Source organism: Homo sapiens, chromosome 1 (assembly GCF_000001405.40).
Source record: "Homo sapiens chromosome 1, GRCh38.p14 Primary Assembly".
NCBI classification, from domain to species: domain Eukaryota; kingdom Metazoa; phylum Chordata; class Mammalia; order Primates; family Hominidae; genus Homo; species Homo sapiens.
The window spans coordinates 213920061-213934588 of NC_000001.11; the positions used below are offsets into that span (position 1 = coordinate 213920061).

Here is a 14528-nt window from a genome sequence, read left to right on the forward strand (position 1 = left end):
TTCACTTGGCTTCTCAATTTTCACTAGCCTGCGACACTCTCCTAAGTTGATATATAAAGCTAACTGATCACCATGACACAACGCCATCACTGAAGACCCATGTCAATGAAGTCAACTCCAAATTCTTCACAGCTCAACTTATTTGGAAAGGATGTTTGGGGGAACCTGGCAGGTGGTTTGAAATGCAATTTATCTTTCCACTAGATGTCTAGGTTTTATTCTTAAGTAAAGTCATCAAAGACCAATATGTGTATGCTCTTTTTGTCTTGGCCTCATACACAGTTGATGCTAAGACAAAATTACAGAATAAAATTATCTAATGTATTTATTGAAGGGATATTGTTGAGAATACTGTCCATGTTGATATTCAGTCCACTGAAATCAACATACATGTATACACGTACATACACAAACGCACGCACATACACCTTTTCACCCTAAGAATTTTGTTTGTTTGTTTTTTTGATTAGGATACGTTTTGCTTAAGGTCAGTATATTTAATTTTGTTGTAAACTTGTCAATAAATTCTGTTTCCCTTTTCGATTTGGGCATCAGAAAACTCAAAACCAAATTTGTGGTTCAATGTCAGTTAAACAGTAAAAGACGCTAAAGCCTGTGTATCTGCAAATTCTCCCTCTTTTGCAGTTCTCTCTCTTACCATGTCCTCACTCTGTAACAAACATTGTCTTTGCCCTCTGTCCTATTTTTACTCTGAAGACTACAATATTTGTATTCTATTTTATAGTAGGCTATATATTCTTGCAAGAAATCATAAATTCCATGAAAAGACAAAGAAACAAATCCTCTATTTTCTTTCATTGTCTTCAAAAAACTAATTTTAAAATTTTAGAAAAACACTCACTAAATACCTATTACCTGGGCTTTACATTTTAGAATCAATACATAAAATTTAATTTTATATAAATTTTCAAATATTTAACAAGTTTTCTCTTCCATCTCAAATCAAATGTATTACAACTAGAATAGATTTTCTTTTTAAGTTAAGGTTGTTGACTCATAAATTATTACATTCTATTTTTTAACACAGTAATTATTGAAACTTATTTTCTTTTATCACTAAGCTAATTCACAGTGTTAAGCATTCACAGAATGAAGCATTTGACCCAGGTTAGTTCTGTTTTATTTCTATAAACATATTCTAGATACAAAATCAAAATCATTAAATACTTTACTTTGCCACTTTATATGTCATGTAAAAATTATTGGCAGTTAGTAAATTTTGACAAAAGATTCTCACTAAACTCATCTTCCAGAGGCTTTGTCTGTTGGCATCTGCAGCTACATTTAATCTCTTTCATATCCCCTTGCCTCGAGAATGGAAAGGATTTTTTTGGTTCTTGTTTTGGTTAGTGTTTTCCCCCAGAAATATCAACTGTTGCTGTCATTCTTACCAAAGGAGGTTATCTCATTGTTGGTTCACATAAGCCAAGCTTATTTCTTGCAAAATATTTTTTAATAATCCAAAGTCCAACCGCTAGACCAGTTGTCACCAGTTTGGCCTTTAAGATTAAAAGTATAAAAGTGACAGAAAATGAGGCCATTAATTTTATTTCCTGTGTTTACTTATTCTACTCTTAGGTACAGAGTGAAGAGAAACTGTTGAAGGCTTTTTAAAATTTTGGATTTTTTTCAATGTCAAATCATGTAACATTTATTTTCTAAAAAGTAAAATTAGACACTTAGCCCTTATAGTCATGCAGATTAAGTCAAACACTTGACCTTTATTAATTCGTTTCTTCATTCATTCATTGAATAAATATTTACTTGGTACCCACTCTGTGCTGGACATCGTCCTCTGAGAAATTAGGGGAAGAGCAAAGCCATACTGTGGGGGAGGCCAGATAAGCAGAAGCCAAAAGTCGTCGCCCTTGGGGAGCCAACAGGCTGCTTTAGAAAACACAGAACATCAGGGTCTAGCATACAGCAGGTGCTACATAGATGCAAGTTGTATTTAACTGTACCTACCAAAATGATTTCAGGGCTCTAATTCAACAACGTATCAACTCCTGTCCACATGAGTCCAGATCAATCTAAGAGCTGTGTGCGTTTCTCAGAAAGCAAGCCATTAGACCCTGCTAATTTAAATACATCCATTTTATCTCAAATTTTCAGCAAGTAGTCACCTCCTGTTTTTCTCCCCTAAGAGTGTGAAGTACTTTAAGCATGCAGAATCTGGAGTTACACTATATAGATTCTTTTAAAAATTAAGTTATAACTGACATATAATAAAATGCATAGACCATAAGATCTTGAATGTTCACTTCAGTGCATTTTAGCAATTGTATATGCCCATATAACCACCACTTAAACAAGATGTAGACCATTTTTATCACCCCAGAAATATTCCTCATGACCCTTGCCAGGTAACTGCTTTCTGATTTTTATTACTATAGATTATTTTTGCGTGTTCTAGAAATTCATGTAAATGGAATCCTATAGCACATATTCTTCTTTTACACCTGTCTTCTTTCACTCAAGTGGTGTTTTTCAGACGATGTTGCATTTGTCAGTGGTTTCTTCCTTTCTATTACTGAATAGTGCTGCATTGTACAGATAGAACATCGTTTTGTTGATCCACTTCCTTGTTAGTGGAAATTTGGGTTGTTTTAAATTTGGGGCTATTATGACTAAGACTGTTATAAGCATTTGTGTACAAGTCATATTGTGTAGAGGTTTTCATTTTTCTTGGGTAAATACCTAAAATTTGCTATTGCTGGGTCATAGAGTAGACATATGTTCAAATTTTTTTTTAATTATTTTTTTTATTATACTTTAAGTTTTAGGGTACATGTGCACATTGTGCAGGTTAGTTACATATGTATACATGTGCCATGCTGGTGCACTGCACCCACTAACTCGTCATCTAGCATTAGGTATATCTCCCAATGCTATCCCTCCCCCCTCCCCCCACCCCACCACAAGTCAGTGTGGCGATTCCTCAGGGATCTAGAACTAGAAATACCATTTGACCCAGCCATCCCATTACTGGGTATATACCCAAATGACTATAAATCATGCCGCTATAAAGACACATGCACACGTATGTTTATTGCGGCATTATTCACAATAGCAAAGACTTGGAACCAACCCAAATGTCCAACAATGATAGACTGGATTAAGAAAATGTGGCACATATACACCATGGAATACTATGCAGCCATAAAAAATGATGAGTTCATGTCCTTTATAGGGACATGGATGAAATTGGAAACCATCATTCTTAGTAAACTATCGCAAGAACAAAAAACCAAACACCGCATATTCTCACTCATAGGTGGGAATTGAACAATGAGATCACATGGACACAGGAAGGGGAATATCAAATTTTTAAACTACTGAACAGTTTTTCTAAATGGTACCTATAATAGGTGCCATTTTACACTACCTACCAACAAACAATATACCAAAGTTCTTGTTGCTCCACATCCTCACATTTTGTATTGAGAGTCTTTTTTTTTTTTTTTTTTTTGATGGAGTCTTACTCTTGTTGCCCAGACTAGAGTGCAGTGGCATGATTTCTGCTCACTGCAACCTCCACCTCCTGGGTTCAAGTGATTCTCCTGCCTCAGCCTCCCAAGTAGCTGGGATTACAGGCGCCTGCCACCATGCCCAGCTAATTTTTGTATTTTTAGTAGAGACGAGGTTTCACCATGTTGGCCAGGCTGGTCTTGAACTTCTGACCTCAGGTGATCCACCTGCCTCGTCCTCCCAAAGTGCTGGGATTACAGACATGAGCCACCATGCACAGCCAAGAGTCCTTTTTATTTTAGCCGTTATCATGTATGTGAAATGGTAGCTGACTGCAGGGAAATTTGCATTTCCCTTATGACTAACAACTTTTCATCTGCTTCTTGCTATTTGTACATATTCTTTCATGAAATGTCTTTTCAAGATTTTTGCTCATATTTTGTCTTATTGTCATTGATTTGTAGGAGTTCTTTATATATTATGCTTATGAGCCCTTTGTCATATATACGTATTGCATTTTGTTTTCTCAGTCTGTGGTTTGACTATTCATTTTCTTAATGATAGAGCAATACTTACCGGTCCCTTCCCCTACTTAAATTTCTCTGGAGAAGGATGTAGAAGTGCAATCCTTTTAAAATCACTAATCATCAATCCTCTCCTTTCATCATACAAAGAAAGGCATTTCTCAAACTCTTCCTCTTTCCACTCTCTACTCCTTTGCCTATGCTCTTTGCTGAATTTAGTGTGCCCTTAAAACTCTTCTATATTGCCCTCATCTGAATTAATTGCCTCATTATCTAAACACACATAGCACATCTGTCTTCAATCAGACTTCTTCTTGAGCTTGGGTACAATCACATATCTAACCATGTGTACTTAGTGTGTTCAACTGGACATTCCCCTCAAATAATGAGCCTCCAAATGGAAATCTTGATTCCACCCCCTACAAAGATATTCTCTCTGTAGGCTTCCCATCATGATAAGCGGCACCACCATATAACAGCGTGATAAGTGGCACCACCATATACCAGAAACAGGTGCTACATAGATTTCTTAATCCAGAAACTTGAGTATTATTTGACTTTCATATTCAATTCCTCAGACAGGGCCACTGATCTTACTACCCTCCCTCCCTGCAACCCAGGACCTTGAGTGCATCCACTTGTCTCCATTCTACTGCCACACCTTAGTCCAATTACCATCACTTCTCATCTAGATTCCCATTTTGGCTTTGTCATCTTTCTCCCCACTACATTCCAGCTATGTAGTCCTTCATATAGTTTCTAGAACGTGCCAAGATTTCTCTTCTAGATCTTTGCATTTGAAATTCCCTTTGCTTATAATGCTCTTGCCTAGCTCTTCATATATCTGGCTTGAGGGCATCTCTTAAGAGAGGACTTCGACTTCACCAATCTGAAACAGCACCATGTCACCCCCCACCCACCCCACCAACCCTTAGACTTTCTAGCACACCAATTTCTTTATTACCTTCTTAGGATTTATCCCAAACTGTGATCTTATTTTCCTTGTTGCTCTCTCCCAGTAAATTGTAAGTTCTGAGAGGGTGGACTCACATCTTTCTTGTTCACCAGTATACCTCCAGGATCCAGCAAAGTGCCTTGCACATAATAGGTACTTACTGAGCATGAGCATGTGTAGAAGGAAGGAATGTTACCCTTACAAATTTAAATCTAGGGTCATGTCTTTTTCATTTTCTATTCATCCCAATACAGTTCTTTGCAAATACTAGTATAAATGTCTTCTCAGGTGAATTGCACTGACTTCCCTCAATGCTTTGCAATTTGCAAGCTGCCTTACCTTTCTCAAATCAGCTTTTCTGATCTCACTACATATATTCTCCAATCTTTTCCTCCCATAGCTCATCTATATCCTAGGCCCAATGCCAAATGTGTTGTTTCTCTTAGAGATTTGTACACTGCATATATAGAGCCGCATCTATAAGATACCAAATAATAGGGTAAGTAATTATAGGTGCATTCAGGCATTTTAGGGAAGAAAAGCCAGCAGCTTAACAGAGCTGGCTAGTCAGCTCCATCAGACAATAGATCAGGTAGACACGTCCAGACACAAACCCCTTGCTGCTTCCTGTACCTTCTTCTGCCTGGTATCACTCTCTCCTCTTTGAGAGTGTTTGAGTCGGATCCTCTCAGCCAAGTGGCAGATGGAGAAGTTGTTTGCAATAGAGATGAGAATATTTTATCAGACTTCCTACAAATGGGATCCGCTGAATTTTAATCTGCCAGCAAAGCACTAATGAAAAGAGGAGGAAAAGTCTCAACAGGACATCCTGTAAGGTCTCCTCAGGAATCAGTGTGTTTTTGGTCAACAGTCAGTTGATAGATGATAAACTTCCAAGGGCAACTCAGAGAGCCCTGAAACAGATACTTCCCTGGTCTCTCCAGGCGTCCTGTGAAGGCCACAGGGCAGAAGGGAACCTGGGTCAGGAGTCAGGAAGTCTGTATTCCAGACCTGGTTCTGGCCCTGACTCCCTAGGTCACCGCCTGTTGGTGATGTCACTTTCCAGTCTCTCGGTTACTCCATCTGTACAATGGAAAGAATATATCCTATTCTTAGCAACTGAGTGTGAAGATGCTTCAGAAATGAATATGCCATCCAGAGATGAAGCAAAAATTGTTTGTAAAACGAGTATCTTTTGTTCTTTTCTCACTCAGACAACTCCCCAACAAGCTCTAGATTATAATAGCCACTGATATTTATTGAGCAGTTACTATATGCCAGGTATGTGCAGAGCAAATATATGTACACAAAGTAAACTTTGTTGCACATTGCATGAATTGTCTCTTTTAACTGTTATTAAACCCCAGGCAGAGAGATAATAAAAAGGGTACTAAGATATCTGGAAATCAGCATGTCTTAGTAACAGATAGGCAAAAGTTTTCCTATTTAAGTGTTGCCTAGGGGCTGACCAGCAGATGCCTCTGGAAACCAAGGGTCATGGCAGGAAGGGTCATATGCCTCAGGAAATCTTCACAGGCAGATTGAAATAGGGAGCCACGCAGCCACGCTCAGAAGCACATTGCTGCCACCTCTGAAGCACTTCTCCCTCACTTCCTCCATCCCAAATACTAGACACATACACACACACACACACACACACACACACAAATACATACACAAACAATAAGTCCAAATTTCTTGAGTGCTGACTATGTGCCAGAGATTGTGCGAAGTGTTTTTACACATGTTATCTCAATTACTAATCACATCAACCCATGGAATAGATACTATTTTTAGCCCCCAGATGATGAATTGGAGACAGAGAGAATAACTTTCCCGGGATCAGATGTAAGTGGTAGAATTAGAATTTGAGCCCAACCTCACATATACACCATGGAATACTATGCATCCATAAAAAAGAATGAGTTCATGTCCTTTGCAGGGACATGGGTGAAGCTGGAAGCCATCATTCTTACCAAACTAACACAGGAACAGCAAACCAAACACTGCATGTTCTCACTCAGAAATAGGAGTTGAACAATGAGAACACATGGACACAAGGAGGAGAACATCACACCCGGGGCCTATCAGGGGGTAGGAGGCAAGGGGAGGGAGAGCATTAGGAAAACACCTAATGCATGCAGGGCTTAAAACCTAGATGACGGGTTGATAGGTGCAGCAAACCACCATGGCACATGTATCCCTATGTCACAAATCTGCACATTCTGCACATGTATCCCAGAACTTAAAGTAAAATAAAAAATGATGTGGCCTTAAAAAAGAAAAAGAATTTGAGCCCAATCTTTCCGAAATCCAGAACCCGCTTTTCTAGCCTCTACACTGCTTCTCGGTGCCTTTTCTTCCCATTTTAATATTTCTGAATTTTTGTGACTGGTGTGCACACTTAATATAGTAGCAGAGGTTTGGTTTTTTGTTTTTCTAATCCTCAGAAAACAAATGGCTGTAGTAAAGCGATGGTAACTAAGAATGGAGAAAATAGACCTGGGAATATATGCACCACAGAGTAGAAGGGGCACAGGACTGGGAGGCAGAAAATCTGGTTCTCATTTAGGCTCTGCCAGTAGCAGCCATGTGACCTGAGACAAGCCTCTTGGCCTCCCTGAGCCTGTATCTCCTGACTTAAAATAAAATGCAGAAATTGAGCTAGACGACATTACGATTTCATGCCCCTTCTAAATTGCCATATGGAATCAAATGCAAGTGAGCTCATATACATTTATTCTCCTACCAGGAGCTTGGTTTGTGCCTCAGTGGCTCAGGGGTTTAATCCTCATTCACCACATTGGAGACTAAAGGAGTTTCAATGTAAGATCTCTGCCCCAATTGTGCTGAACATTCCTCTCCATCCCAGGCCCTTTCTGTAGCTCTCTGAAAACACAGGCCGGATCCAAGGCGCCTGTTCCAGCATCACTTCTGTTTACCCCACCATCAGGATGGTGTCATTTAGCCAGAGCCATCATTCATAGTCACACCAAATGGCCCATGGAAGAAAAGTTGGTTACACTCGAAGAACAGATGACAAGTGACAGGCTCCGCTCCTGATTTTCCACAATAACAGAAGAGACCAGCAACTGCCATGGTGGTCCAACACCCGAACAAACTACTCTCTTCCAAGCAGCCACGGCCTGCCCATATCTACTTCTCTACAGGGATTAAAGAGCAGTCCCTTGTCCCTAGTGAAGCTCTGCATTTCTGTCTTTCCATATATATCAACTGGGGAGCCATATACAGGTAGCCCCACTAACCTGAGTTCTGCTGCCAAATGACTTTTATTTTGCAAATAAAAATAAATCCCTTCAATTTTTAAGAGATTGTAACTGTTCTCATTCCCCAAAAATGGCAAGAAAGTGAGGTAACGCCTACATTAATTGGCTTGATTTAGCCATTTCACAATATATGCATATATCAGAACCTTATATTGTATGTCATAAATATATACAATTTTAATTTGTCAATTAAAAATTTGAAATATTTTAAAAATTAAATATATTACTTAACTTCTCTGTGTACCCAATGCTGCCATGGTGAGCAGACGTGACACAGAGCGGTGGCGAGAAAGGGCTAGTGACCAAGAATGCAAGGGAGAAAAGGACTCTGGAAGACCTCAGTCAAAAGGAGCAATGGGAGACAGTTAAACGCACCTTGCCAGTCGCCAGGCAGGTCCGCGTCTGCGCCCCTTTATGTTGACGAAGGAAAGGCAAAAGGAGACTTTCCCAAAAAATAACTGGACGTTTGTCTGCTGCCTATGGGATCCACAGAAGTTCCAGGAGTTCCAGCAATCAATCGAAACAGAATTATGAAAATGTTTCCAACCTGCTCTGGGGCAGCTATTAGATTCTAATTTAAAAGCTACTAGAAAGGCCAGGTTCAGTATGTACTCATTTAAGTCTTTTATTTAGCATTTATTAAGTTGAACCATGTAAATGGCTGATATTTGCAGATTTGTGACTTACAAAAGTGGAAAAGCCACATGGTTCAACCAGATCCTTTGTGCAAGCCACTGTCCTGGGTATTGAAGATATAAAGATAAGAAACAGTCTGTCTTCCCAGGGCTATCAAGAGAGAATCCCATAAAGAATTAGTTGCAAATTGGGTGTTTTGGTGCTATGGAAAAGATGTACAGACAAAAGAAGGGGGTAAACATTCAGAAATTCAGTGTCCTGAAGTAGAAGTTTGCTTCTTTCATTAGGATAAGCCCAGATCTCCTAATCTGGAAATCTGGTGGAAAACGCACTAAGCCCCTCTTCTTGCCATCTCAGCATCTGTAGAACGACCAGTGAGCCCAGAATCTCAAAGCAAGCATAAGAGCAGGGTTAATTCCGAACCTGCCAACCTTGACTGAATCTCTTTAGCATTTGTTATTTTTATGAGTCCCTGAATTCTTCCCTTGAATATTAATTGTCTTCAATTCTTTAAGTATATATTAGTTATTACATATTTTTGATTAATATTTGATGGCCACTTAGGCTGCCAAGTGCTCTCATAAATTTCCCAAGTGGATATCTGACACTAGGTAAGTGTGGGAGACCCCTTGTGCAGAGCAAAGACATCAATCATTTTAAGCCTCTGACTCCACACCTTAATACCCAAAGATATATTGCTAAGAAGCCCATAACAAGTCATTAAAAATGAATGTCTTGTGGCAGTTTTCATGCCTGCAGAATTCAGTGAGAGAGGAAAGGGAACCTGAAATGTTGCAGAGGCCAGATAGCTCACTAATACTTGTTTGGACATTTTTTAAAAGATTCCCCCATTTCTCACTCCAGAACCAGCTACGTAATTTGTGGGGCCCCAGTGCAAAGTGAAAATGCAGGATACCTTGGTCAAAACTTATTAAGTATTTGGAGACAGCAACAGCAGAGCATTAAACCAAGCATGGAGCCCTCCTAAGCGTGGGGCCCATGCTTAGCATGTGTAACTGTATGGGTTGCACACCAATGAAGCCAAGACCCTGCCTCTCTCTGCCCTCCCAAGGACCCTCCTCTCCCTCTCATCTCCCTCTGCCTGAAACTTAGTCCCTATCTATAAATGTTAAAAAAAAAAAAAACACCAGCAACGATAATATAATATTTAATGAGATACTACGAGGGGCACTCTATTTTCATTAACTCGTGGAATCAAGAGAGGGTTCATATCACGAATCCTGTAAGTACTATTGTTACCCCCATTCTACAGAGAGTTAATTTCATGTGTCAATTTGACTTGGCCATGGGGAGCCCAAACAAGTCTCACAGCATCTGAGCAAGAAGCAGAGCTCAAAATCAAACCCAGAACTTTCCACTACATCACACATCCCATGAAATGACCCAGGGCCATAAATGGAAACAGAGCCTGGAGCTGATCTGATCTGTACTCTTTGAATGTGTCCTGAAGCCACCAGCTAACTTCATCGAATATACGTTAGTCTTTGTTCATTGTTTACTGATATTCCGATCAAGTCGAGAAATTTAAAGTGAATAAACCCACCTCCATAAAGGGAGTTGATAATGGCTGTGATTCCAGTTTCCCTCTTCTCCTAGATTCCCAGGTCCCATTAAGATTCTTAGGGCTGCACAGGGAACTTTTCTTCTTGTTTCCCTGTCTCTGGCCCCTCTGCCTTCTAATCAGCCCTACGGAACACCATCAATCTGTTTATTGAGCTCTCCAGCACAGAAAACTTTACCTGCACTGAAAATGTAGCCTAGAGTTTCACCAATCTTACAATTAATAAACTATAGTGTAACTTCAATCCTTCCTGCTGTGGTCTAAGGCTATTTCCCAGGGCTCTGGTCTAGTCACAAATACAACCTGAGAACCATGGAAATACATCCCAATGCAACAATGACAGTGACTGAGAATTTCTTCTCTGCCATGACAAATCCTTCTACACTTCCTACACAGCTTCACCCCCTTCCCAAAGCTGTGCATTCTTCCAGCTCCTCTGACTTTCTCATTTACTTCTCTATACTTAGTTCCGTGTTAATTATTTGACCACTAGTTTTAGAACAGGGGCGATTTTACTCCTTCCCTCCTCAGGGACATTTGGCAATGTCCAAAGACTGTTTGGATGGTCCCAGCTGCAGGGGTGCCACTGGCATCTAGTGGAGAGAGGTCAGGGATGCTGCTGAACCTCCTGCAATGCCCAGGACAGCCCCCAATGACAAAGAACGAGCCAGCCTAAATGCTAAGTGTCAGTCATGCCACAGTTGAGAAACTCTGATTTAGACCCAGGGTGGCAAGTTTCTGCCACAAGTGCTCTCCCTCCCTAGTCTCCCTGTGTCCTTTGCTGTCACATCTAGTTGATCAGGGCATTCATGCCCTCTGAGCCTGGTTCTGAAGTTAGAATCCTCCGAACACAGAGCTCCAGGCAGCCTTTAATGAGTGATGGGTGCTGAAATGCAAAATGAACTCGATTGGCCATCCTTGCATTAGACACTTCTTGTGTTGGCCTTGTTTACCAATTCACACAGTAAACCTTTTGAAGCAAAGATCATGTCTTCTATACTCTTTGTAGTCTCCAATAGTGCCAAGGCAAAGAAAGGAAGTGATGGAGAAAGGGAGTGGAAGAGAGGAAGGGAGGGAGGGAGGGAGGAAGCAAAGCAAATTAAAGAGAAAATCAGGGGGAGGAGGAAATAAAATTATAGAAGTAAAAAAGAGTGAAAAATAGAAGAAAGTTCAAACCAGGCACTACTGAGATTAACTGAAGCAGCCCCCCACTCTTTCAGGAGCCTATTTTGTGTATTCTTGAGGAGGCTTTACAAAGTAAAAGGAGTCAACACCATGAATTTCCCATCGTCAAGAGACTGACCATGAAAACCTAGTCACTTTGTTCTTTTAGACAATGCAACTGACTCAGGCTCGCAGTAAGAATTCCCCAGTTTCCCCCAGTCCCTCTCCACCCCAAGTACCAAGCTTTCCTGCCAAGTGGTGAGAACTAGCTGTCGTCAGGTTGTCATCTTTCCAAAGGCCACACGGGGCACCCCGAGGAAGCCGGATTCAGTTTTTCTCCAACATTTGTCAGCCCTCATCTTGGTGGGGATTGTCGATTAAGGCAAGGGCATCCATCCTAGTTAACACCGTAATAAATGGCCAACAATGCTGCCATTTGGTGACGATAAAATCCTAAATAGTGTGTCTTGTTGATAGTCTTGACAGATAAATTCTGAGTGTTTTTATAGCTTAGATCTTCAGAGGAGATTTGGCAGGCCCTTAGTATTTAAGGGCTTATGCCATTAAAATTACACGACCACATGTCTGTTTTGAACTTGTCTCTAATAAATGTGGAAATGTAAGCAAAAATTCTCATGTATACAAAGGGCACATCTCATAAAATAACAAGCCTTATTATTGAGTAATCAAAGTGATCAATTTGTTGGAAGAAAATACTCTTTGAAGGCACGTATAATTTTTGGCACTGTTCATCTTGGGATTTTTTTCCCTCATAGCATTGCCAACTAAAAACCCAAGCACAGTTTGTGCTTCAGATGCTTCCACCCATCTCTACCAGCTGAACTCACCCTACCTAAGGTACAAAGCATTTGCTCAGTGAAGCTTCCCATGCTCAGCTCCCACAGAGGCCAGACTTGCAACCCCCTTCCACTGATTTTTTTTTTAAATTTTCTTGAACATATTCCTATTCTCAGAGTCCATCTGTTAAGTTTTTTAATCGGTGGCATATCTGGGACCCCAGGCCATGCAAAATTCCACAAAGTACCCTTCTTTGTCCATTGTAGAATGAAGTGATCTCTATCTCCTCTCTGCAAAAGAGAGCTGTTTGGGGGAGCTCCTGATCCTTGGAAAGAGAAAATGCAGATGGCAGAAAGAGACCATCCTCCTTCTTTGGATCTTTGCTTGGTTTCTATAGTACTGCCTTTTCCATAGGGCAGACTAGAATGACACAAGTAATGTAACATCAATGAACAACTGAGCAACAGCGTGTGGATACTTCATGAAAGTTTAAAAGAGTTAGCTCAAGTGGGGACTACATGTAAATTCAGTGTTTGTAGAGTCATGGCATTTTCTAAGAAAATTCTAGGAAAGAAGTCATACGACCACACTCTTCACCTTTTCCTCAGCAACTTCAAGCAGCTTGCTTTGTGCCCCTTTCATTTCCAAGCAACTAGGTCTATCGGGGCCCGGTGGGGGCAGTGGCTCTGTTTTTGCTACTACTGCGAAAGCAAAGGCATCTTCCGTCACCTTTGCCTCCTATAGAGAAGAGCCTGGTTCTCATGTTTTCCCCCATCTCAATAGCTCAGGGCTTTGCTAATCTTGCTGAACACTTCAGTTTTTAGATGGTATATCAATGAGGCATTCAAACAGAGCAGTTTATACACAAAAATTCTGTCTGCTTTGTAAAAGATTATCCTTTTATAAACACTCTGCAGAAAACATAAAAGCAAATAAGGGGCAGCACATAGAACAGGAAAGATGTTAGCAGGGAGATTAATACTGAATGGGTCGAAATGAATGGCGCTTACTAAAACGAGGTCCAGATACTTTGGCTGCAGTGAAACATAAATAATGGGAATGACACATCGTTTATTCGGGATAATGAGTTGATCCAGAGTAGAGGCCTAGGACAAGAGATTAAAGATTAAATATCCATCTCCTGATGAATATCAGTAGCCAACTTTAACCTTTTCCTTCCAAAAGTACAATTTTACTTGAACCATTCTATGTGCTTATGCCACAGTACAGAAATAGGATCCTCAGAAAACAACAAATGCCACTTGAATCATTTTCTTACCCTGGTGGAAAATATTGTCTCACGTTTTATGATAGGAAGGGGAATTTTATTTCTAGGCTATAAACCTCTAGATAGTGATTTTTAAAAATAGATTCCTCCCCCCACCCCATATTCTGCATTTGAGAAATCTTGTTTAGGGACTCTTCTCGCATCTCCTCATTAACATCCATTCAACAATAAAGTTTTTCAAAAGAAAAACAAAAGTGAGACTGGCACAACCCAACACAGATTTCACATCACCAGTGAGCTCTATAGAATGATAAAACGAGACAAGCATTCAAAATCTTCTCATCCAAACTCGTCATCCCATCGGTGAGGAAACTGAGGCCCGTGGCCAGGATGTGTCCCAGCCAGAGTCCCACAGCTAGTTAGAAACGGAGCTGGGACTAGTACCCGAGGCCTTCTGGCTTCAGGCCCCGACTCTTCCCACTGCACCCTGCTGCCTCTTTATCCCCTCAAGTTGGAAATAATGACCAAAGCAGCTTGCTGGAAGAGCCAGCACCCCACATGCTAAATTAAAGCCCTGAATTCATGAAAAACTTAGACTATTGGAAGCACTGAATACATAAGAGCTGGAAACGGAAAAGGGGGATGGGAGAAGCTGGAGCAGCAGGGAAAAATAGAAGAAGAGGATGCAAAAGGAACAGACAGCAATCACAGATGCCCGCGATGCCAGACCACAGGCCCCGCCACCTGGGTGTGATTTTAGAGCAGTCTATTGGTGGCCCTTCCCTCTCAAGGGGCGAGAAGACCCATGGCAAGAAGGAATTTTGTCATTTGCCCATTTCTTGGAACTAAGTAGCTGCCCACTGTC

At 40.6% G+C, this 14528-nt stretch overlaps 2 long non-coding RNA genes across 2 annotated transcripts in view; one reads left to right on the forward strand and one right to left on the reverse strand.

The window, feature by feature from the left end:
- PROX1-AS1 (PROX1 antisense RNA 1) overlaps positions 1–14528 on the reverse strand; it is a 166513-nt gene that overhangs the window by 100420 nt on the left and 51565 nt on the right. The gene's annotated exons all lie outside the window — the stretch shown is intronic.
- Positions 4689–6594, forward strand: LINC00538 (long intergenic non-protein coding RNA 538). Its single transcript, NR_046189.1, has one exon. It is a non-coding gene; the product is annotated as a long intergenic non-protein coding RNA 538 (long non-coding RNA).